At 38.5% G+C, this 26,610-nt stretch overlaps 1 long non-coding RNA gene across 1 annotated transcript; it reads left to right on the top strand.

Annotated features, from left to right (window-relative positions):
• Window positions 1-3,218: 3,218 nt before the first annotated feature.
• LINC01920 (long intergenic non-protein coding RNA 1920) lies at window positions 3,219-22,908 on the top strand. Its single transcript, NR_110241.1, has 6 exons — window positions 3,219-3,277; window positions 4,347-4,376; window positions 4,549-4,624; window positions 5,306-5,858; window positions 18,760-19,774; window positions 22,114-22,908. It is a non-coding gene; the product is annotated as a long intergenic non-protein coding RNA 1920 (long non-coding RNA).
• The last annotated feature ends 3,702 nt before the right edge of the window (window positions 22,909-26,610 follow it).

The following is a 26,610-nucleotide window of genomic DNA, read 5'->3' as shown; positions in this document are numbered from 1 at the left end:
ATAAAATCATTTTAAAAATGATATATGTAAAGTGTTTTAAACAGTGCCTGGTCCATAGTAAACACTGTACAACTGTTATCTCTAATCATTATTATTGTTGTTACTATATTCCCACTTACTAGGTGAAGGGTCTCTTCTTGTGTGTGTCTATAATGCCTTTATAAAACTGATCTTACGGTGGCTCGGTGATTCACGCCTGTAATCCCAGCACTTTGGGAGGCCGAGGCAGGCAGATCACGAGGTCAAAAGATCGAGACCATCCTGGCCAACATGGTGAAACCCTGTCTCTACTAAAAATACAAAAATTAGCCAGGTGCGGTGGCACGTGACTGTAGTCCCAGCTACTTGGGAGGCTGAGGCAGGAGAATCACTTGAACCTGGGAGGCAGAGGTTGCAGTGAGCCGAGATCATGCCACTGCACTCCAGCCTGGCAGCAGAGTGAGACTCTGTCTTAAAAACAAAACAAAAAAAAACAAAAAAACAAAAAACAAACTGATCTTACTTACAGTTACTTATGCAGTGCTCATCTTACCTACTAGACTGCATGCTGTGAAAACAGGGATCCTGTTTATCTAATCCACAGTTTTTTCTAGCTCCTGGTAAATAATGTGGAACATGGTATGGTTCAATAAATACTTTGTTGCTTAAAAGGGTGAATTACTCAGTGAATCATTCAATCAATCCTCCTCATTTAGCTCCCGTATGTGCCAATTTTCTGAGGTAAAGCATATATTTTGAACTCTCTCACTCATTATAGAAAAGCATTGTTCTGATATAAGCTTTGAACATACCTCTTAAAACTATATTTATATTTCCCCTTCAGTGATAAAATATAGATCAGACTGATAGATCAACCTAACCCATAACTCTTCTCCCTAACCACCGTACACAGATTGACTTAAATTACTCGGATACATGATTTTTTTTTTTCAGTGGATTATATAGACCCTATGGTGTGACCATTCAGGCATAATCTTGAAAAAATTCTCAGTCCTGACCCCTAACCCATCCTATTCCTGTTACCCTGGAAAATAGTCATTAATACCTCTGCTGCCATATGGGATAAAAATGGGTTAATTTCTAAATTGTCTGATGTAGGTAATTACCTTTTTGTCTATCTTTCACTCTTTTTAAATTGTATACCCCCAAAGCTAGAATTAGCTTCAAAGTGAATGGAGAGAAACTGACCCCAAAATTTCTGATTTCCAAGCAGTCCGAGGTGGTTCAAGAGTGTAGGTCCTGGATGGGGGAGCTAAATGAACAGGATTGATTGACTGATTCAGTGATTATTCATTCGTTTATGCAACAAAGTATTTATGGAACCAGCTTCGGGTGAGATAAAATTGTCCTTTGTCAGGGGCCTGAGATTTCTTCTAACATGGAAACACTGCATTCCACTGACACATTAGGAATACTCATTGGTTGGACGTGCCTGGTACAAAACCATGAAGAGGAGCAAAAGCGGAAGGGAACTAACATTAATTAACCCCCAGTTGTGTCAGATGCATCATCTTATTTAATCCTCACCGCTATGAATCCTGTAATTAAACCTCTTTTTGATGGGAGGAAACCGAGATTCAGAGAGTTGATGCAACTTGCTCAGGGTCCAGACAGAAAGAAACAGCGGATCATTGATTATTTTGATTATTTGTCATTGCTGATAACTAACATTGGCTCACTCAGAGTCTCAACTGCCTAATTAAGTGGGTCCAGGGATGTGATGTGAGCACCAAAAGCATCTCCCCACTCCCATCTTCCCCTCAATTGTATGAGATCTCACATTGCAGGGAACACCTCTTTTGCTGCGTCTATTGCTTCTTAAACCCTACCCACCCCCAGACATTGGTCTTTCTGTCAAACAACCACTGTTTACATGAAGTTTCCCTATCTTTGTCCCACTCTGGGGCCTGCTCAGGTAGAAAGTGATTTACAGAAAGTAATTAACAGCATGTTTTGTGTTTGCATTTTAATTGGTGCTTAGATTCCAGTATATACAATCTATTATTTTCTTGACTTGATTACTTTCTTCCTGAGTTCTTCGAATTCTATTTTTACTTCTCCATCTCCCTTGCTGACTCCTGCCCCCAAGGACCTGCCCTTATTCTTTTTTGTGAGCTACACAATGTTCTCTTCTTAACTAAAGTCACACCTTTACAACTTTCAGTATCATTTCTACTCACATGAATCAGATAGCTATTTCTGACCTCTCTGTTGAGACCAAGATTTGCATTTCCAACACCCAGTTGGACATCCAATAGATGTTTGCTCAGGTTTGGACATGTTGATTCTGATGCAGGCCTAATGTCTATTAGAAGACTCCCATTCATGTCTGTATTTATTTGTTAATCTCTAAAAGGATGCCAAGCTAATGCTTCAAAATCAACAAGCCCAGACTTCTCCTTGCTCCCTGGTTTGATGAATGTTATCACTTAGCCACCTAAACTTAAAACCTAGTTACCTTTGTCTTGCTGTCTTCCCTGAACACCCACGTGAGTTGGGTCACCAGATTTTGTGGACTTTACTCAATCCTTATAAGGTCGCTTTTTATTGATGCTTCATTAGGATCCTAGTTAATCTTACCACCTTTTGCTTGACCGCTTTCTATATTCTCCCAATTAATCTTCATCCTTGCACATCTTTCTCTGCAAGTTCATTGACACTGACACTAGAGTTATTCTTCAAAATCACAGATCTTATCTTGTTTCTCATTTATCCAAAACCTTCTAGTTTCACTTCATTGCCTCCAGAATATCAATACAAATCCATAGTGAGCATTTTAGGCCCCCTAGAAAATCAGTTCAACCTACGTTTCCCACCAGTCCTAACTAGCAATGTGCTGCCCTAGAGCCAGACCAGACTAATTCATCACGTACTGAAGGCTCTGACTTTCCCTCTATGCCTGTGCTCATGCCACACTATTTTGCTTAGAAAGGCTTTTCTTCCTGCTGTGTCACACTCAGCCCAAATTCAACTTTGTCTTTCAATATCCCAGTTCTCTCTGATACGGTTTGGCTCTGTGTCCTCATACAAATCTCATCATGAATTGTAGCTCCCATAATTCCCACGTGTTGTGGGAGGGACCCAGTGGAATATAAGTGAATCATGGGGTGGTTTTCCTCATACTGTTCTCATGGCAGTGAAAAAGTCTCACAAGATCTGATGGTTTAATAAGGGGTTTCCTTTTTCACTTGGCTTTCATTCTCCTTATCTACCACCATGTAAGACATGCCTTTCGCCTTCCACCGTGATTATGAGGCCTCCCCAGCCACGTGGAACTGTGAGTCCATTACACCTCTTTTTCTCTATAAATTACCCAGTCTTGGGTATGTCTTTATCAGCAGTGTGAAGATAGACTAATACATTCTCCAAGTCAGAGTTTATTGCCCCCTCATCTATTTTCCCATTACTTAATTGAAATAATATCAACATCTATCTTTCTTTTTTTTTTTATTTTGAGACGGAGTTTCTTTCTTTCTTTTCTTTTCTTTTTTTTTTTTTTTCCACTCTTGTCGCCCAGGTTGGAGTGCAGTGCCATGATCTCGGCTCACTGCAACCTTCGCCTCCTGGGTTCAAGTGATTCTCCTGCCTCAGCCTTCCAAGTAGCTGGGATTATAGGCACATGCCACCATGCCCAGCTAATTTTGTATTTTTAGTAGAGACAGAGTTTCTCCATGTTGGTCAGGCTGTTCTCCAACTCCTGACCTCAGGTGATCCACCCGCCTCGGCTTCCCAAAGTGCTGGGATTACAGGCATAAGCCACCGCGCCTGGCCCACCATCTATCTTTCTATGTTTGTTTAAGCTTTTTGAGCAGACAGAACTTTTCATAATCATTTCTGTAATTATGCTACCCTTAGTAATTCAATACAAGTTGAAATTAACTTCCAAATATCTTACCTCTTAGATTAGAAATCTATCAATAGGACATTTATATTGAATAACCTTGTATTTAAATCATATTATGTCACTAATGTTTTTACTTAGAGACTATGAATTGTAAGCACCATTTTAAAGACAGGAAAATAAAATACAAAGGAGATATTTGGTGGAGATCAGCCAATGAAATTGTGAAAGATTTTAGAGAAGAATTTGGTATTCCTCATCTTTAGTGCTATTTTTGAGACAGGCTAAGATAGAAGTACTAGCCAAATGTAACTAAGTTTAAATTCACTAAAATTAGAGAAAAACGTAAAATTCAGTTATTTATTCACATCAGAAACATTTTAAGCACTCAATAGCCACATATGGCTAGTGACTACTGTATTGAATAATGTTGGTGTAAACATTTTCATCATCACATAAAGTTTTTTCAACAACATTGTTCTATTTCCCTTTTTTTCCTTTGTAGCATACACTTAATAATTCATTACCTATTAAGGTAAGATTCTACTCCTTTTTTGGTGTTTTGTTCTTTCTTTATTTTTATTTGCTCCTGCATTGTGAAATCCGGTGTTTGGTGTGTGTCAGAATGAATAACTATATGATTTTCCAAATACCTCTTATAAACTAACTGCCATTCTTCCATGTCTTTGGAATTTCTTTCAATCCAGCTTCTTCTCAGCTGAGGTCATGCAAAAATGACTCACTTGCATATGATACTTTCCTTGAGGAATTAAACCATAAACTGTATCCTTTTGTGCAAATCCCTTACACATCTCAGTCATGAATCTGTATGGCTCTCACTTCATTTATTCTGGCTTAGTTATCAGCATAAGCCTGTAAAAGTCAAATTTTGCTAACAAATGGAAGTAATAGCAAAGAAAGCTAAGGACAATTTATTTCCCTTAGGAGATGGGAAGCAGAGGTACAAACAACTTTTGTTCCACCACCCTTTTCACTTAAAACACACACACACACGCACACACACATGCACGCACACACACACACATACACTATCTTACTACTTGAAAATGAGGGCATTAGAGTCTAGATAAAAGGGACAGAGGGACAGAGTACACTAATGTGAAGATCTCTTGTCAGTTGTACATTCTGAATAAACATTTCATCTTACCTTAATGCATAGGAAACTCGAACTTGTTTTCAGAACAATGAAGTCATTACTCCTAACTCAGTATTACTTCTAAATTCTGGGCCTAGTTCAAATATTATTGTATATATTTTATTTATTTGCAAAGTCATCTACTTGCATGTAAAGCTGACAAGACTGTAAGTAATTAAGCCAGGTGTGTCCCCTCATCTTTTTATCCCCAGCATATATTAGGAATGAGCTGATACAGCCCATTCCTCAAATCCTGAGTAGTCCGGCCTTCCATATCCCTGGCCATATTCCTCATTCACCATTACCAGCCCTCCTTGCATTGTGTATTGAGGGAGAAGATTCCTAGAAGCAACATTCATCGTCTCTCTTTTCAATGATGGACAACTCTCTGCTGTGCCAAATATACTAACTTTAACCACCCACTGCCAAACTCACACCTCCTTGTTCAACAAGCCAGTTACGGGCAGTGAATGAATCTACGATGCTGAACAGCCCCGTGGGCATCTTCTCACTGGGCACTGGCTAGAATGCAGTTGGATTAGACTTTCACAATTGCTTTGTTTTCAAGCCAGGAAGGAGAAATTGAAGGCAATTCACCACCTTTCTATATCCAAGATGAAAACACAGCACTCTCCTAAACTTCAGAAGTATAACTCAGTGGGTTAGTACTTCAGATCTAGCCTGAGGCAAAATTATGATTTTTCCAAAAGATTTTCTTTTTTTAGCATTCTTTTCCTTACACGCAGGCCTTTGATCAAGCTACAGTTTTGAACTGATTACAGCTTTTGAAGCCTCAGAAGATTTAAAGACCCACATTGTTAACAATGGTGTTTTAGGTGTGTGGCGTATTAGAGGAGTCGGGTAAGTGCAAAATCCTGAAATTTACACAAGGGTTGCAGCTGCCTCCTCCACTAGTCATGAGTGCAACCTGCTATGGTGGGTCTCAAATAAAGAAAAATCCTAAAGATAAAAATAATTAATTTAGCTTTGAGATCAGAGTCTAAAAGCTGCAGAAAGAATTTCCTATTTCCCTCCAGAAAGGAAAGAATTACAGTCTGCTCAGTTCCGATCAAGCCTTTCTATGACATATGGAACAACTAACTTCTTTTTTCCACAGAGAACAGCTTTCATTAATCAAGTTTCTCAACTTCTATAGAAGAAAGGCTGACATATAACTTAAACAAGTGGTTAAACCAAAAATATGTGTAGTTTTTATTTGGTTAATCAATGATTTAATAGCTTAAGCTGGACTTTTAGGACTTCATTTATTTTCAGTTTTCTTTATCAATAGAATTAGATCTAATTGACTACACAAAATTGCTCATTAAAAAGATTGGTCAACAAAGGAAAAAAAAACGAGGGAAAGTCAATTAAAATGCCAGCATAAAGACAGAGCCATTGATACTGGGAAGCTCCAGAAAGCTTATATATCATGTAGAGATTTTTCTTTTTTCTAAAGCTTCCTTTTAAAAAGGTGGCATTGATCTTGTTTTGGACAAAAGCAAATATATTTTCCCCAGGCTCACCCTATGTTTTCTAAAGTTATCAGATTTATTTCTTTAAATCTTCTTTCTTTGGTCTGTTAACATAGCCTATCTGGGTAACTCATAAACAATACACAAAACTGTGTCTCTCTACTGAGACCAGGCTAATGCTTCTCTATATTAGCTTTGTTCTCTTTGCTCTTCCTTGCTGTGCCTTTCCTCATCCTTTCATATTTACAGCTTAATATAAAAAAGCAAAAAAATTTAAAAATATGGCAGAGGATTGAGGATGGGGAAGAATATCTAAATCTCAGCAAAAAGGTACATGGGCCATGCATTTTTATCATCCCCATGTCTTGTCAGTATTGCATAGTCAATTTAGGGTGTCATTTTTTCAAGCACAATATTATGAAACAAGACGCTGTATCTCTGCAGAGTTTGGACACAGGGAAGGTGATCACAGTACGGTGCTGAAGAAAACTATGTATCAGATGACTTTGCTCTGGATTCATATATTTGATACCCAAATTGACATCCTTGAAGCTCTGGGTATTTTCTGAACAGAACATACTGGAAGCTAAATGCCTAGTGGGAAGTACCTTGACAGCCAACTAAAGAATTGACATTCACAGCATACGCTTTGGAGCATTAAGTGATTGAGAACAGCAGATAAGCATTCAGACTTGAGAGTCCATTTTCCTTTTAAGCTGCATAGACGCCAATAATAATAGATCAAGGTTACCTTTTTACACTTTTGGCATCTGTCTTAAGCTACAGGATATAAATGCCCCAGACAATGCATACTTAAAATTGACTTTATACAGAATTTGGAGAGGGAGAGTAGTGATTGTGCAACCAGATTACAGAGGCCAGCCACATTCCAGCAAATGCACATTTACTCAGCATCTGGGATAGTTTAAAGCTTACAGAAAATGGGAATGAATGTTGACAAAGGTAGAATAGTATACATTAAGTTCAAAGATAATACAAACAAACCATATAACCAATGACATTTTCCATGAAGAGAAGCCTTTAACAGGAATAGCGAGAGGTCGGGCTGCACACCCCTTCGGGTGTCTAGACATTTGGGTGGAAGGAAACTAACCAAATTGTTCCAAATCCTTCTCTTTTGCACTGATTGAATCTGGCTGCAATGACTCAGCCTGTGTCTAAAACAGAACAACCCAGTCTTCCTCTTCTTCTTCCTCTACTCTTTCATGTTTCAGAGTTGGTAGTTTGGGTCAAGGAGGCTACAGACAGCATATGAACCTATTTATAAAAACCAGAAAGAGTTCACTGATCTTGAACCTTCCTAAGTGTTTCCTTGGATTTACAGACACTCTGCCTTTCCTGAGTTATCAACCTTTAGGTGCTCAAACTAGACACATCTATAATGGACATGGCTGACCTCCACCAGGGAGGCCCTGCAGTCCTTAACACTGAGTACACTTGAAGGCAGGGGCTTCTCTTGACTCTTTTTTTTTTTTTTTTGAGACGGAGTCTCGCTCTGTTGCCAGGCTGGAGTGCAGTGGCGTCATCTTGGCTCACTGCAACCTCCGCCTGCCCCAGGTTCAAGCGATTCTCCTGCCTCAGTCTCCCAAGTAGCTGGGACTACAGGCATGCGCCACCACGCCCAGCTAATTTTTGTATTTTTAGTAGAGACAGGGTTTCACCATTTTGGCCAGGATGGTCTCAATCTCTTGACCTCGTGATTTGCCCGCCTGGACCTCCCAAAGAGCTAGGATTACAAAGTGAGCCCCCATGCCCAGCCTCTCTTGACTCTTAAATCTTTGTTGACGTCTCTGTAGGATTCCAAAACTAACTTCTAGTAAAAAAAACCAAACAGACAAAAAACAACAAAACAAAACAAAAAACAAAACAACAACAACAACAACAAAAAACAATGCAGGATATCTTTAGCTTTTTTTCCTTCTTACCAGATATTTGGACAGTTGCTGCTAATTGACTTGGTTGAAGATGTCCATTCTTGAGGTAGTTTATGGCCATGCTTCTAGGGTCACCTTTATCTAAGGGTCAAGGATTAAATTGGGATCTTGAGAAGGAAAGTGAGTATTGACATATATGTACACATTACAAAGGAAGCAAAAGAGCCTACTATCATTTAATTAAATAGAAATAAAATAGATAAGATTTTAAAGTGATGGTATTTTAAAATCTACCCACTACAAACAGGAATTGGAAGACTTTCAAAACAGCGTCTACTAAGTGGAGAGAAAGGTAAACATTTAAGAAGAGAAAAACTGCCGCACTAAGTCAGACTACCTTATATCTAGAAAGTTTTTTTCCTCTTTCAACAAGGGACTTTTTGTAAGAAAGTAGTTACTTCCTACATTTAACTCTGAAAGATAGAGATGTGCCCCGAACACATAATTTACTGTAATCAAACTTGGATGATGTTAAATTCTTCCAAATCACTGCTTGCATTAGTTTATTATGCCCAATTGAATGACGTCATCAGTGCAGACAGCCAGAGAAAAACCATTAAGAACAAATACTATTTAGTAGTCTATATTCACTGGAGCATCTGAATTCTTAAAAGGGATGCTTGGCTAACCTCTGGAAGCATGGAATAGTCCTCATCTTCCACCTGCAGAGTTAGCCTGCCTGGGACCAAACCTGGCTCCACCGCCATACTACTGTGTGACTGTTTTTGTCAGGGTTCTCCAGAGAAACAGAACCAACTGGATTTACAGAGAGAGAGAGTGTGTGAAAAGAGATTTATGTTAAGATATTGGCTCACATGATTGTGGAGGCTTGATGAGTCCAAAATCTGATGGAGGAGGATGCAGGCTGGTAACTCAGGAGAGAACTGCAGTTGGAGTTCATAAGCAGTTTGCGGGCAGAATTCCCTCTTACTCTGGGGATGGCAGTCTTTTATGCTATTGAGGCTTCCTTCCAATTGACTGGCCGAGGCTCACCCACATTATGGGAGCAATCTGTTTTACTAGAAGTCCACCGATTTAAATATAAATCTCATCCAAAAACACCCTCATGGAAACATCCAGAAAGTTTAACCAAATATCTGGGTATTGTACCCCAGTCAAGTTGGCATATAAGATAAACCATCACAATGACCTTGGACAGGCTACTTAACCTTGTTTTGCTTCACTATGCTCGTCTATAAAGGGAGATTGTTTAACGTATGGGCACATACTTCATCGGGTGATTGTGAGGATTAAATAGGTTCATTTCTAAGTGGAGTGCTTAGCTCCAGTGCATAGCTCATAGTAGGCACTTTATTGCAGAACACTGGAACAGAAGGGAACTTTCAAGATATCAAGTACACTCTGAGATTCAGAGTGGTGAAACGACTTCCCTCAAATTGCAGAGTTAGTTGTTTTAGGGATGAGATTACAATTCTAATGCCCCAGCACCAGTCCAACCACTATTGTAGAAAGCTTTACTGCTGCTTCCCTTGACTTGGGTAGACTCAACAACAGTGTATCACATGAAATGTATTACCACTGGAATTTGGAATCCTTTCATTTCTGAGATGTTATTAAAATAAGTACTTGGTAATCATTATTGCAGAAATGTATGTTTGATTATTTATATCTACAGATTATTGAAAAAATAGCTCTCTTGTCCACTGCATGATTTATTGAAACTGGGATTCCTTTATCCTTCTGCTGTTTCACATGAGACATTGTATTCCCTTGGGACAGACTGAACTAACACTAACACCTGGTGTTTCCACAGAACCTACCCTCTAAGGTTCAGTGAGAGTCAAGATACAACTAATTGAAAATACCTGCCTAATTTGAGTTGTTTAGGTTTTTTTCTTTCTTCAAGGCTTAGATCTGCATTCCATCCCAGGCTGCTGAGAAGAGCTCTCTTTCGCAAAGCCTTTTCTTCCTTCCTATGCGAAATGTTACTCAATCTGAGGTTCTAGATCAGTGTTTCTCAAAGTGAGTTCTACCAAGATTATTTGGATTATAATTACCTGCAGAGTTTGATAAAAATATAAGTAATTGGTCAGCACTACAGAATCACTGAATTTGAATTTCTTGAGGGGAGATTTGGGAAAAGATACTTTTTATAAGGTCCTCGTGTTGATCCTTATGCCATAAGAGCTTGAGAATCACTGCCCTCGATTACCTTGATCTTGCTAATAAACACTGCTTCGCGGAATTTCAAGGCTGTAATAATGTCAATTAAAGTTTGTAGGTGGATCAATCTCCACTTAATTATGTTGCATTATACATTCCTTCTAGCTGAAAACAGTTTAGTTCTTCTGCATTAATGAAGTGTAGCTGTGCTTACACAGTATTTCCTGATTTGAACTGCTAGGCTGGTGATTATTGTTAGCTGTGCCTTATAGAAGCTCCAGAATAGGTATTGTGTGTTTTAATGCTGACTGTTAACATTCACGATTTATTACATTAAGTGCCAAATTTTTAATCACTGAGTGTAAAAGTTTCCATTTTCAAAGCACATTAAATCCCAATGATATTCTCGACTGAAGTCATTCACATCCTTAAGAAACGGTGTGGTAAGTATATTTGAAGGGCCAGTTGGTAACAGGTAGAAAGATACATGTGTAGGCCAGGCGCAGGGGCTCACGCCTGTAATCCCAGCACTTTGGGAGGCCTAGGCAGGCAGATTACGAGGTCAGGAGATCGAGACCATCCTGGCTAATGCAGTGAAACCCCATCTCTACTAAAAATACAAAAAAAAAAAAAAAAATTAGGTGTGGTGGTGGGCACCTGTAGTCCCAGCTACTCAGGAGGCTAAGGCAGGAGAATGGCGTGAACCCGGGAGGCGGAGCTTGCAGTGAGCCTAGATAGCGCCACTGCACTTCAGCCTGGGCAACAGAGTGAGATTCCATCTCAACAACAACAAAAAAAAAAACAAACAAACAACAACAAAAAAAAACATGTAGATGTTGGTACTGATGATATAAACTTACATTGAGGAAAGAAGTCTTTGCAGCCTCAAGGCGAAAATACCCACTGGAATTGATTCTTGACCCCTGCCTGACCAATTATCACTGACAATACTAAGATCAAGAACAATTTAACATTCAGTGAATGTTCACTACATTGAGGGACCTCTATGCATTATATTATTTAATCCTCCAACAAAAATTAATTAGATAACTTTATTGATCTCCATTTTTCAAAGATGAACTGGGGCTTGGAGCAGTCATGGCTCTTGCCCATAGTCAAACAGCCTGTCAGGGAAAGAGTGAGGATTTGAACACAGGTTGATCTGACCTCAAAGCCCTTGTTTTAACCTTGTCTTTCAGTAGACCAGCTCCCTGCTTCTGTTCTGGTCTGGCGTTATTCATAAAGTGAAACAGCAGACAAAAAGAAAATGGGATTTGGCCTTTGAGAACAGTGTCAGGGCATTTTGAACATGCTGCCACTCCAAAATTAGAACCATGCCATTTTCGTTTTACTGCAGAGGAGTATGGCGCTGCCTGGGGCCCAGCTGAGCCAAGCTGAGGTTTGGAATAGCTCAATTACTAGTTAAATATGGACTCTGTGCAAGTCATTTATTTCTGTGGACTCCATTGATCATATGTAAATCAAGGGAGCTAAAATCACATGCCTTCAAGCTTTCGGTATTTTACAAATACTGTGATTTTTGTATATTTTCACAGAACTTTGGAACTAGCAGGGATGATCTGGTCAAGAATCATTTGGCTATCAGGAAAAGAGATCCACTCAAGCTTGCTTAGTTAGGTAAAGGAAGTTTATGGTAAGGAAAATGGCTTATCTCATAGAAACAAAGTTAAAGGATACAGCCAGGCTTCACAGGAAAGAAAAGTCATCATTTGTCTTCTGTTTTCCTTTTCTTCTGTATGGGGATAAGGGATGTTCATTTCTGTGTGTTGTTACTTTGTTTCTCTCCAACTCTGAAGATTGGCTTTCTTTCCTCATTTGCTTATGGCCAGTCAGAGCTGCCCAACTGGAAGCACTCAACACTGGCTCACTTCAGTCTCTGGGTATGAATTCCAGATTTTAAGACAAGAGCATCTAACTGGTTGAGTGTGGGTTCCATGTCTAACATTAATTATTCAAGCCAAAGAGATGGGATGGGAGTGTTTGGTATTTGGTGCTGTACTTTCAAGAAATGATTTTGGTAATTCATGCAGAGATTGATTATACAACCTTTGTGAGAAATTGAGAATGAACCTCTAATGGATAGGATAGACATGGTTTGCACAAGGAGAAGCAACAGCGTTTTTTACTCTCTCTTATTCTAATTCTGTATCTTTGATGCTATTTTATTCTCATTCTTTCTCAGTGCCTTCATCTTACCTTTCATCCTGGTCTTTTCTGATCTCCCTGGTTCCTTTCCTTCCTCTACTCATGAAATTTCTCATTTCTTTGAGGTGCTGCAGTTAGGTCTTTGAGGTAGCAGCAAAACGAATCTGATGAAGTAATTTCTGCCTAGAGTTAAAATAAATACATGTTCATTTTTCACTGAGTGATTATTATGTGCCAAATCTAGTGCTAAGCCGTTCACATATACTATTTTATTTATTCCTCACTATAAACTCTCAAAATAAACATTAACTTATTTTTCCATCTGAGAAACTCAAGGTTCTGTGTAGTTAAGTAGTTTGTACAAGCTCACACAGCTAGTAAATGAAACTGCTGGGATTTAAATTCACCCTCCAGAGCCTGAACCACTATATGCTATGGCTGCTATTGTCATATGTTATCCAAGCATGTGAAGCAGCAGGCTTATCCTGACTCACAAGGGCCAAGTGTTACATTTGCAGGAATTTTGAGAGCTGATTATTAAACGTGACCATTATAAAAATTTAAATTATACCACCTTACAATGAAATTAAATTTATTTTAAAAAAGTAACACTTAAAACACATCACTAATTATGTTACTCTATTTGACCACTATATATGCATTTGAGTTTCTTTCTATGACATCTGTATGGTAGAAATACTGCACCTCTCCCAAACTCTAGAGTATTTACACCACAGAAACTGACAACTGCCCATCTAAAGGCAATTAAATTTTTTAAAAAAATGAATAAGTAGACAGCCATACAGGCACACAAAGTCCATCTAAAAGCTAAATAGGACTGTGAACCACCAGTTTCTGACCTCTGGTTTTTTTGTTTTGGTTTGTTTTTTTGTTTTTTGAGATGGAATCTCGCTCTGTCACCCAGGCTGGAGTGCAGTGGTGCAATCTTTGCTCACTGCAACCTCCGCCTCCCAAGTTCAAGCGATTCTCCTGCCTCAGCCTCCCAAGTAGCTGGGACTACAGGCATGTGCCACCACACCTGGCTAATTTTTTGTATTTTTAGTGGAGATAGAGTTTCACAGTGTTAGCCAGGATGGTCTCCATCTCCTGATCTCGTGATCCACCTGCCTCGGCCTCCCAAAGTGCTGGGATTACAGGTGTGAGCCACCGTGCCTGACCCTTGACCTCTGTTTTAAAGAAATGCATCTACAATGAATGAATCTCAAGCACTCATGCCAGAACACTCTTTTAAGTGTGGGCATCTGACACGACTACACATCTGCTCAATCATGACTGCCTCAGGAACCACTTGTTGTCCAGACCAAAAAAAGGAGTTAAATTAGTGCTAGCCAAAGGTTGTCTGTTGCCTAAGCTGAGGACTTTTTGAGGCCTGGCTAAGGTTTCCTGTTCTGCACAGCCAGGTATTTGCATTGGCAGATGTGGCATCACCACAGTCTCTGCAAAGAGCTGGCTGGACTTCTTGACTAAAGCAGTAGTAAGCAAGAAAGAGCTGACCCAGAGATTGCATTTTTGCTTACCCACAGCAGTGTACTTTTTATGCAGACACTGCCTTTGCATCTGTTTTAGACTTTATTTATTCATTAGTTCTTCTTTCTAGGTCAATGAGAAGCCAAAGAGAAGAGGGTCTTGCAGCTGGAGGAGATAAATATGTGATGGGGTGTGTGGGTGGTCATTTAATGTTGCTTTCTGGGCTGAAATGATGCTGGTTTCTTATGTTGTCTGTGGAAGTAGCAATTATCCTTTTCTCTTTGACTGAAGTAGTTATTTTTGGTAAAAGCTATTAAGTCTTTTGAGTAAGAACATTTTGGGTACCCTGTGGTTGGTTGTCTATGTTTAGATCACTTGATCTGTGACCTTGGACAAATCTCCCAGCCTTTCCACTTCTCTCTTGTTAAGTTGAAAATGATAGAGTGACTTGTCAGTAAGTAGACAATTAAAAAAAGGTTTTAAAGAATTTTTAAACTTCTAGAATATTATTTCAATTCAATTATGATTTAATATTATTTCAATTTTTTAACTCCTAGAATGTTATTTTAATTCACATTTTAGCAGAGCAAAAATGTTATTTATGTATTTACTTAAACAATTACACCAGTTGCCACTAATTCATTTTGTGCTTTGGACACCATATCATATCCGTAATGTATCCAACATTTGAATGCAGGAACCATAACCTTAGTTTCCTAAAAGTTTCTGTGGTATGATTGTCTCAGTCCAAATTATGGTATATTGTTTCAAGTTATAAATCTTTGGAGTATTTCTCTTCTAGGTAGCTCTAAAAAGCCTCTTCACTTCTACCTTGCTATTTGAGTGTAAGGACCAAAAAAATTTAATGAATACTATATATATAACTACATATATATTCTGTAAAATATCGCTGTGCTTTGCTATGAGGAAGACCCTGCTTTGCTATGAGGAAGACCCTGCTTTCCTATGAGGAAGACCCTAAAGGAATTGTAAACAGTGTCTCTGGAGTCAACGATAGCAGTTTACATGAGAAAGATAATTATCGCCCAAAAAGCAGTATATAATCAAAGTCGAGTAACGGTCTCGACTGTAAATATAAATGAGAAGAATCTCTCTTCACCATCCACTTAACCAATACTCTGGAAGAAATTCAGCTCTTCATTCACCCCATCAAATACGCTGACCTTTGTCATAGCATACTGTCTGCTCAGAGCTAGCGTGCACCCCTCTGCTAGAGCCACTTGAACAGTGTGAAGCCCAAGTGTGTTTATTCCAAACTGTGAGTGGCACTTGTTATTAAAATCATGTAACATAAATCAATGAAATATCGTACAGAAAGTGAGGTATGGGTTTTTTTGGTATGAAAACTAAATTGATTGCATTATGAGGACTTTTAAATACGAATGGCTAAAAACAATTACTAATGAATTAAATATTGCAAGAAAACTTTTTTTTTTTTTTTTTTTTGAGACGGAGTCTCACTGTCGCCCACGCTGGAGTGCAGTGGCGCGATCTCGGCTCACTGCAAGCTCCGCCTCCTGGGTTCATGCCATTCTCCTGCCTCAGCCTCCGGAGTAGCTGGGACTGCAGGCGCCCGCCACCACGCCTGGCTAATTTTTTTTGTATTTTTAGTAGAGATGGGGTTTCCACTGTGTTAGCCAGGATGGTCTCGATCTCCTGACCTCGTGATCCGCCCGCCTCGGCCTCCCAAAGTGCTGGGATTACAGGCGTGAGTCACCACACCCGGCCAAGAAAACTTTTTAAAAATTAGGGGCAGAAATCAGAAAAATTTATAGGAAGACTTCAGACTCACAATACTTGGAAGGTTCTTGCTCTATTTTAAATAAACCAAGACTGGGAATCATGGAGGATGCATTATGGGTGAATTGTATGCAAGATGCTGTAGGATTCCTATTAGCAGACTCTTAATCACAGGAAAACATGCCCCTGAATCAAAAGCTTAAGGAAATAATGTACAGTTTTAAACATTTTAAATTGGAGTATTTATAAAGCATATGTATCATTGTTAAGATTCCTTCTCTGATCATTTTTTTTCTTTTTTTTTTGTTTTTTTTTTTTTTTGCTGTTGTAGCTGATTGGCAAATCAACTACTGGTCTTGCTTTCATCAAATTAGAGAACTTCTACTATATTGAGGATTTGGGAAAAGATAAAATCAGTTTTGTTGAATAGTTGGGAATTTGACTGTAAAATTATTGGTGTGATTTTCTCACTATAGAAGAACAAAGCAAAAACAATTTTTTTTTTTGAGGTGGAATCTCACTCTTGTTGCCCAAGCTGGAGTGCAGTGTCATGATCTCAGCTCATTGCAACCTCTGCCTCACAGGTTCAAGCGTTTCTCCTGCCTTGGGCTCCTGAGTAGCTGGGATTACGGGCGCGTGCCACCACACCCAGAAAATTTTTGTATTTTTAGTAGAGATGGGGTTTCACCATGTTGGCCAGACTGGTCTTGAATTCCTGACCTCAGGTGATCCACCTGCCTTGGCCTCCCAAAGTGCTGGGATTACAGGCGTGAGCCACCACGCGCGGCCCAAAGCAACATTCTTAGTTAAGAATAAACACACAAATGGCAAGACAATGCAAACTTCAGAGTGGGAGAGGTAAAAATCCATGCATAGGAGTAAAGAAAAGAGAAGAAAAGGCCCAGAAGAAGCTTTTGGAAAGATCTGGAAGAGCTAAGGGACCCGATTATAAGTAGTAGGCAGTATTGAGCCATTGACTAATTTTGATCAGAACAATGAAATTATGAAAGCAATATTTTGAGGGAATTCTTCTGATAACAGTGTGCAGAATGAGATGGATCTTTAATGGCAAATATGTTTTTGAGGATTGTGCAGACTCAGATTATTGGTAATGCTGGTCTGGAGCACTGTGATGAGAAGTATGAGGCTGAGGCTATTCTCTATAAGACGTGCTGTTTTCTACTAGTGATGCCTGACATGAGCAAGGGAAAGCAGGTTGCAGCACATCTATGCCTGATGTTTGTAGGCCTCTGGTCAGATTAAGGGTAAAGATAGTAGAAGCATTTATGCCACCACAATAGCACGAGAGATTATAGAAGAAGGTATAAAATATTTTTTTTCAAATACATGCTAATTTGGTTCCATGGATAAAATTATGTCATAAGTAGAATTTTTAATTTCCGTTTTGGAGTCAAGCAAGATTATGCTTTTCCTTATTATTCACATAAGGGAATCATTACAATATAATCATGAAGAGCAACACAGGATTTCGAGTAAGACAGAATTTTGTTCAAAATCCAGACCTGCCATTGGCTAGTTAAATAATTTGAGACAAATTTCCTGAACTCCTTAAAAATTTATTAAATTGCTATAAAACGGGAACTAAGTTACCTAGCTCATAAGGATCCAAAATATTAAGTTTATTGGCTAATATTAAAGGCAGTTAGCATACTGCCTATCACAAGCATGGTCAATGAAATTCTGCTTAAAAATATTTTACCAATTTTTTTCTCATTAAGCCTTAAAAATAAAAATCTGTAAGATTATTATTCTAATAGTTGGAATTTTCTAGCTTCTGAGCCCCCAAATGAAACTGAATTAACTCTAGATAGAAAAATAAGTTAAAATATATTTTTCCAGGTTTTTGGAAAAGAGACACCATTTCTTTTTCCACGAGAAACTAGATATTATGAAATTCCTCCTCTATCTGAGCCACTGTTTGCCTACTCTTTAAAGGCTTTATAAATGAGGGATCATCATGACTTTGATGGTCTGAACTGCAGGATGTTGGTACACTCATATACAGACATTTCAATGTATTTTTTTTCTCCTACTTCTATCCCGTGGGCAGTGATTTCTTGGCAATTCACATGCAAACACTGGGCATCCATTCACAGAATTTCTCAGTTTGTTTAGGAGAAGTTGTGATGTTCATTTGCAATAGGGTTTTGGCAAACTCCTGACAGAGAATTTCTTTATAAAAAAGGACAGAGCACTTAATTTGGCATGGTTCTTTCATGTGTAGGTTTGTATTTCCTGTCTTCTAGTTTCCTTAAAAATATGCAGAAACACACACATACCCATTCATTAAGCACTTTGAAGCAGCAGTTTGTAATATTTCCAAACAAAACAGTACTTTACCAACATGGTTCAGTGTCTCAAACATCTCTTTTCTATTGAATTCTACCAACTGATATTTGAGACAAAAAAGGAAGCCAAAAATGTAGGTTCTGGCTAGTTGCATAGTGTGTTGCTTGTGGTAAAGGAAGATTCAAATCAATTCTAATCCAAGAGAAATATCAGGAGTCATCATATTGTTCAGGGTGTGAATATCCTAGAACTGATTTCTTTGCAAAGCCTACTTCTTCCCTATGAACTTTTCTTTTGAAGCAAATGGTAAGCTTTTTTTGTAATGTAAAAATGATAATTTTTTTTCTTTTTGAAACAAATGGTAAGCTTTTGTTTGTAATGTAAAAGTGATAAAGCTGTGATATATTAAACATATATTATTTATAACAATGGCTTGAATTACTATAATCATTACCTCTATCACTGTTAATCATTCAAACACAGCTAATTCTAAGTCCTCAAGTGCTCAGAAAACAACATTAAAAAGTCTGACATTTGAAAAGTATGGAATTAAACATCATGGAACTGGCTTTAAGAAGGTATCCATTCGTGGCATGAAAATGTGAAGAACTTTCTTTCTTTGCAATGTGAGTTCAAGGAAACGCCCAAGAGTGGATGTTCCATCGTAAATGCTCTGCCCCCAGCTTTTCAAAGGACACAGAAATTGCACCCAGCAAAGATGTCCTGTCAAAATGATTTAAAAGAAGAAAAAGAAAGTTGCTAGAGGGGAACTGGTACTCCAGATCAAAAAACAATTTTAAGTGGTCTATTTTGGTGGTCTGTGTTGAGACATATAACAGCCCAGGCTGCTGTTTTTCCAAGAGGTTAAATTTCAAAAAGAGGAAACAACAGCAAACAGGCTGCCAATTTACTCAACAATGTCACAACTGGCTGGAGCTCTGTTCAAAGCAAAACCGCTGATTTACAAATTCCTGGATTTACTCTTAAATATTAACACTTCTTAGGAAACTTTAGACCTTACATGTCACATTTATGACTCCTAGGCAGACACAACCCTCTCCAAACACATGGTCCTCATGACAACTCTTTGCCATGTATTTCAGCCCCACTAAGGGAAGCCACTGTCAACTCAACCTGTGATGCCAAGAAGCAGCCCAGGTACCAAGGGACATAGACTGGAGTCAACATTAGATGCGTTTCTGTATGGTGTAGCTTGGAGGAGGATGTTTACAGCACAATTCCGCAATAATATGCTGTAGCAGACAGAAGTTTCCCTTCTATCAGACAAAGAACTAGTCAGGGAAGGCAAGCTGGCTAGACCACGGTTCAGTTTTTCTCATCTCCTTTCTGCAAGTGGAAAATCTGCTGGCTGGCAGTGGAAATAATAGGGAAACCACCTCAGAATGTTGGAGAAGAGGATGGGGGAGGAGTTGCAGCTCAGGAATCCTTCAAAGAAGACATGTGGGGAGAGGAAGACAGCACACAGAAGCAGGGAGAAGTAAGTGTTAAATAGCCAGTAACTAAAAATTGAGAGAGGTGTAACAGCATTTAAACATTCTGTATCCCAAGCAGTGCTTCCTTCTAGAAAGCAGAAATTTCTCCAGGTTCTTCAGCTGTAAGAAGGGTCCAGGCTCCAGTCAGAGAATAAATTTAAAGTAGGTCTGGTGAAGGTTGCAGGACTGCATATATAAATATACTAATTTAATTTTTTTTCCTTTCTTTTTTTTTTTTTTTTGAGATGGAGTCTAGCTCTGTCACCCAGGCTGGAGTGCAGTGGCGCGATCTCAGCTCACTGCAAACTCTGCCTCCTGGGTTCACGCCATTCTCCTGCCTCAGCCTCCCGAGTAGCTGGGACTACAGGCGCCCGCCACCACGCCCGGCTAATTTTTTGTATTTTTAGTAGAGACGGGGTTTCACTGTGTTAGCCAGGATGGTCTCGATCTCCTGACCTCGTGATCCGCCTGCCTCGGCCCCTCAAAATGCTGGGATTACAGGCGCGAGCCACCGCGCCTGGCCTCTAAATGTATTTTTTAAGAAGAGAAACAATGTACACTCCTTTTTAAGAAGGGAAATGCATACTCCTTTAACTAGAAAAGGATTCAAGTTGTCATTCAAAAAAATATGTGTGCAAACAACTAGAAAAACATAAGACACTCCACTAAAAGTTGCATGACTATAAATTGTACTGTATGCATTCATTTTTATATATTTATGTGTTTGTTATTTCATCTGTGTCTATTATCTATCTCTATCTATCTATCTATCTATCTACTTATCTATCTTCATGATCATCATCTGTCTCCTTGTTAGTTTACCTAGTTATCCTTGGAAAAGGAACAGCTATAAGAAAAATTATTAGGGGAAATAATAGTGTTAATCATAACTACATCCAAAGTTTCTATGACATCACTAGGTGTTTTTAAATAAATCTCTGTTATTCATCTAGAAATGAAAACACACAAGGTGATAGAGCACACATTAAACACCTTATTGCTAACTGAGTTATGTCTATCTTCTGTAAGTACATAAGTAGTAGCTAAGATTTATTGAGTGGTTCTCACCTGCCAGCCTCTGTGCAAGGCACTTCACATATATCATGCATTTCCTTATAAGAATTTTAATGAGATAGAGCCCATTATTATCATCTTTTTCAGTTGATGAGACTGAGGCTTGGAGAAACAACTTGGCAAAGGCCCACTAAGTATAGCCAAGTGTCATGTTTCAGGGGATAAATGATTTGACTCTAGATTTATCCAAGTTTGTTCAATAATTAGTAATGTTGTAAATGGATCTTCATAGTTCCTAAGAAAGAGATCTTAGAGGATCTAGAGAAAAAAAATGCATGAAAAAGCCTAGTGGGCTGAAGAGTTAATGGACTTTGGAAGCAGATGGCCTGGGTTTATATTCTGGCTCTACCACCTTTTAGCTGCGTGATCTTAGGCAACTTATTGATATTTTGGAAAGTGAGATTATCTTTCATTGTTTAATCTTGCCAAATGAATGTGTAACTTTAGCACTGACTTTACTGAATCCCTTTAGTTCTTTATGTAGGTGATGGTCATAATTAATTTTATAACTATATTTCTTAACCAAAAATAAATAGAGCTAGTAATTCTTTTTTTTTTTTTTGGATCTTTCATAACAAGCAGGTAATGTTTTTCAAGTAATATTTTCAAGCTGTCATACCAGGATGACACTGAAAAGTACCCACCAGAAAGACTTACTTGGGTTATTGTCCACAGCTAGATATAATTCACTCTTGCTCTTAGGTTACAATAAGGGAAACTCGAAGTTTCAAGAAAATATCTTATGAAAGATGGTTTCAATTTTAAATAATATTTACCAGGAATAATAAAATCCTAATAACCCTGTAACTAAGCTTTGGGTTACTTCTTATATGATTCACTTTAATCAAATGTGTAACCTCATGTATCATTTTTTTAAAGAATTTCCAATCCCAGCACTTTGGGAGGCTGAGTTGGGCACATCATGAGGTCAAGAGATCAAGAGCATCCTGGCCAACATGGTGAAACTCCGTCTCTTCTAAAAATACAAAAATTAGCTGGGCGTGGTGGCTTGCACCTGTAGTCCCAGCTGTTCGGGAGGCTGAAGCAGGAGAATCACTTGAACCCAGGAGGCAGAGGTTGCAGTAAGCCGAGATTGCACCACTGCATTCCAGCCTGGTGACAGAGCGAGACTCTGTCTTGGAAAAAAAAAAAAAAAAAAGGAATTTCCACTCTCATTTTGTTAGTTCCACAAAAACACTCAGAAAATGTTGCTAAAAATGCCTCTTTATACTGAAAAGATTAATTTCAGATATCTTTTTATTTACCCCAGGTTAAGAGTATGAACCTTACCAACAGGTAAAAATGTGTCATATTAATTTTTTCAACATCAACAAACACGTCAAAAGATGGAGCACTGAAAGCTGCATTTTAAACAAATGCCCCAGGTAATGTATACTGAAAATGCAATCCTGATGTCCTAGGTGGCAGGATTATTGTTGTTGGAGAATGCTCCTGTAAATTTCTTTTCCAGTCTTCTCTCCTCACTTTCCATGCCTAAGGAGTCTAAGTCCCACTGCCCCTGCTAATTGTCCCTGGTTAATTAGAATGGAGAATGACCCCTGAACCAACATGGGCCCATGAGCCGCACTGGTGAATTGTCATTCAGACCCAAAGGCTAGTCAGTCTCCCTGGGCATTGAGAAGCAACAGAAAGCAAGTATGTTCTTTGATTACAGACTAATTTTCTAGCCCCAGAGTTGGAACTAAAATATGCAGATAGGATAGTGGCAAGAGACAGACAAATGCCTAGGCAGATAAGGGGTGTCCCTGGAGAACCTCTGACCTGCCCAGGTCATTGTGCACCAGGGTTTTGCCTAAACATGCCCATGGTGAAAAATTTCATCCCTTAACACATGCAGTGTACAGTGGCTCAGACTAAGGGCCTGCAGGCACATTGGAAAGACAGGGTAGAGCCACCAAAAATTCGCTCCTTATGCAGGGGAAGAGCCTGGCCTCCAGCTTGTGTGTGGTGGCCTGGTATTCAATTTGTGAGATGGAAACCTGTGTCCAGGACCCCTCTCTTTGCTGACAGCTTTCCTTTCGCTTAATAAATTCCATCCTCCTCACCTGTCAATGTGTCCACATGCCTAATTTTTCCTGGTTTGAGACAAGAACCCGGATTTAGCTCAACTAACAAGCAAAAAATCCTGCATCAGATCTACAGATAGATAGACATAGATCTAGATATAGATACAGATACAGGTGTAGACACAGATGTAGATACAAATACAGATAAACGTATCTTTACAGAGAACACACCCACATAGTATGAGTAAAACAAAAAATTAACACCACTCCCCACGCCAAGTGTGTAAAAAGAGGACACTAGCTTAAGAGAAATAAAGTCTTGTGGCTTATTTCCCAGGAAGATGATAGTGTATGCCAAAAATGGATGTAATATTTAGTCTCAGTTGAGATTGCCTGTCTTACATTTAAGGCAGATGGGCTTCAACTACTATAGCAGATAGTTGGTGACCTAAGGCAGAAAGCTTTGTTACAAGGTGGCAGATGGAAGGAGAGAGGTACAAACTCCCAAAAATGACTCTCCCAGAGTCTCTTAAAATACTCCTGGACAGGGATGATCATCTTTGGCCCATTTGCCAAGAAAAACTGAGAACAGATTCCATAAAGAAAAAATTAAACAGATATGAGTAGAGAAATGTGTCCTGCCCTTGGTTTGTATGAGATATCATAGATTCCTCCTAAAAAATCCCTTGCCTTGATTTTTTTTCTTGATATCACATGTGTAGTTTTCTGTTCTTTGTAATGAATTAATTCCTAACCAAGATAGCCACAATAGGCAAACAATTAGAAATATTAGACATGAATTTACAGGGTACCTTGGCTATTTGTTTCATTGATGCCTGAAATTCCATATTGGGTTTTTATTTTTTATGTCATTTTTAATTTCATGTCATTCTTTTGGTTTCCACTCATTCAAATATAAATATCTCTGAGAATAGCAATTACTCCTAAGTCCATACATTGAGTATACCCTCAGAATTATATCAGAAATTTTTCTTGTGAACACTTTTTGGTAGAGAAAAAAGCACCTGATGTGGTAGGAGGGGTGGAAGTGATGCTACTGTCCTTGCTGCCAACTTCCTCTACAGTGACTGCCCCTGCCACTGTGGGCTTCCTAAAGATGGGGGTCTTCGTTCCTAAAGGATGATTCGGAGAGCCCCTTCTTACTGTGTTCTACCTGGCAGGAGTTGAGTTAGGCATTTCAGATGTATTCAGGCAGGAATTTCTCACAATAACCCTATGATGTTGGCATTATTATTAATGTTCTACAGATGAAGACTTACAGACTTAGAGGATCAGAGTGGTAAAGAAACTAGCTCAGAAAGAGCTGAATTGGAATCCAGGTCTGTCTGCCTGACTCAAAGTCTGTGGGTTTTTTTGTTTTGTTTTTTTTGAGACGGAGTCTCGCTCTGTCACCCAGGCTGGAGTGCAGTGGTGCGATCCTGGCTCACTGCAACCTCCGCCTCCCAGGTTCAGACAATTCTCCTGCCTCGGCCTCCTGGGTAGCTGGGATTACAAGCAAGCACCATCACGCCCGGCTAATTTTTGTATTTTTAGTAGAGACAGGGTTTCACTATGTTGGTCAGGCTGGTCTCCAACCTCTGACCTGCTGATCCACCTGCCTCGGCCTCCCAAAGTGCCGGGATTACAGGCGTGAGCCACTGCGCCCAGCCAAAGTCTGTGTTTTTAACCATGGATATAACAAAAGAGGAGACGTGAGTAAATATGGGACATAAGTAAAAAAGGAAAGTTTTGAATGTCTATGACATTTCTACAATTTAACTTTTTGCCCAAGAATCTCGTTAATAGAAAATTAATATTTTTTAACATTTATAACCTATAACAAGATGCACTATGTTAACTGTGAAAATTGATCGTATTATTACATATAGATACGTACAACACCACATTTTCCTAAATTTATCATTCTCTAGTTCCAGTTTCCAGTAACTCTCCATAAATAATCACAATAAGAGGTAGTTTTGAAGGATTTTTGATCACAAGAATGTTCATGCTTGCAGTGTATATAGGTAATTACTAAAATGTATAAGATGGACATAATCAAAAACTGCTTAAGAAGGATAAAACTTTAAAATGTTAGATATGTGTAATTCATTACTTTTAAAATATCAACAAACTGTCTGTACCATAATTTTAACTGGAAGATGCTATCTTTTTAGACACTTTGCATAGAGGTAGCCATTAAGGGCAAAAACTCCAGTTGAAGACCCTTTGCCCTATATAGTGGGACATTTCTGTAAGGTTACAATTGGAATATTTATCTTGCTTCTTATGTATAGGTTATATGCTACTTTAACTTACCTTTCAACACAGTGATTAAAAATAAGCTTGTCCATGTTTGATAAATACTCTGTGAAGTGGCAATCTCATGCATGAAGTCCTTTTAAGAATGAAAATAAAATGACTTTTCTCATAACAATGCCTGGTAGAGACAAAAACTTTATTAAGTCAAGTTCTGTACTTTAAGAAATGTGATGAACTCCGAGTTCATTAGCACAGCCTAATACCCTACGTCATGAAATATGAGCATTTAGAGAAGCTTTTTTCTAAACTTTAATTAGAAAATGAATAAATTAAAAATAAATATAATTCTTTTGACAGTTGAACAACAAATGCATATGATCACAAGATCTATTTGGTGAGAGAATAATCCATATTGCAATGATATGAAATGGTCAGATAATTGCTTGTCGGCCTCTTGGTGAGGTCAAGTGAAATGGTCAGATGGTCTGGGCTATATTGTGTTCTCTTCACCATTTTACTTGCTGCTTCTTGGATTCTAGTTTTTAAACAGAAAAGAATTACTATCCTCACTACTTGGGTTCATACCCACTTGGTAGAATAAAATAGCAAATTGTCAATTGTTCAGTCTACATACAAAGTACAGATTTTCTGACTGGATAATGCACAGTAAAAGCAGAGTGCTGGCATGACTGGTTAAGCTTTTGTATTAACACAATTGACTACACAGTTGCTCACTACCTTAGGAAGTTCCGCTGACAAGTTCTGGCAACTTGCCCACAAAAATTGGAGTCAACATCACCAACATAGTTATAAAGCATTTTAAAAATAAATATATACAAACATAAATTTCGCAGACAAGATAGATTAAGATATGATTATTTACCTTACAAATAGTGATCACTCTTCCTTGATTTATTAAATAATGCTATTGTGCAGTGTATTTTAAAAAGTTACATTCACAAAAGTCTCCTTTATCCACAACTTTCAAGGAATACAATTATTAAAAAGATATTTGTGTTAATTCTTGTAAATGGGTTCATATTAGCCATTTTATTTAGACAAGATGGAGACATAATAATCTTCAAATAATATAGGGATGCTAAGATTTGGCTCCTATCCCACCTTTAGGCATACGGTGTGAGAGAATAAACAATACCTTACTATAGGCTTTCAGGTAATAAAAAGAAATAAGCCCAAACTGTAACATAAAACTAGGTAATGGATCTCACATGTTTACAGAGATTATTCCTGCCATAAAGTTTAAAAAAAAAAAAAGGAATGGCATAAGGTAATTCCCTCCTTTGTAGCTCCTGGGTTGGTTTACCATAGAAGATGACATGTTGCACTCACCACCTAGGGCATTCATCCATTCTGAAATCCAAGCCTGACAGAGTAAAGGGGGAGAGAAAGAGCAACTCAGACTTCTCTGTCCCACCTCCATAAACTCTCCTTTTGTGCTTCCACTTTGCTGACTGAGA

Source organism: Homo sapiens, chromosome 2, assembly GCF_000001405.40.
Source record: "Homo sapiens chromosome 2, GRCh38.p14 Primary Assembly".
NCBI classification, from domain to species: domain Eukaryota; kingdom Metazoa; phylum Chordata; class Mammalia; order Primates; family Hominidae; genus Homo; species Homo sapiens.
Note: the sequence above shows the minus strand (reverse complement) of the source record. Positions and strands in the feature narration are given on the sequence as shown.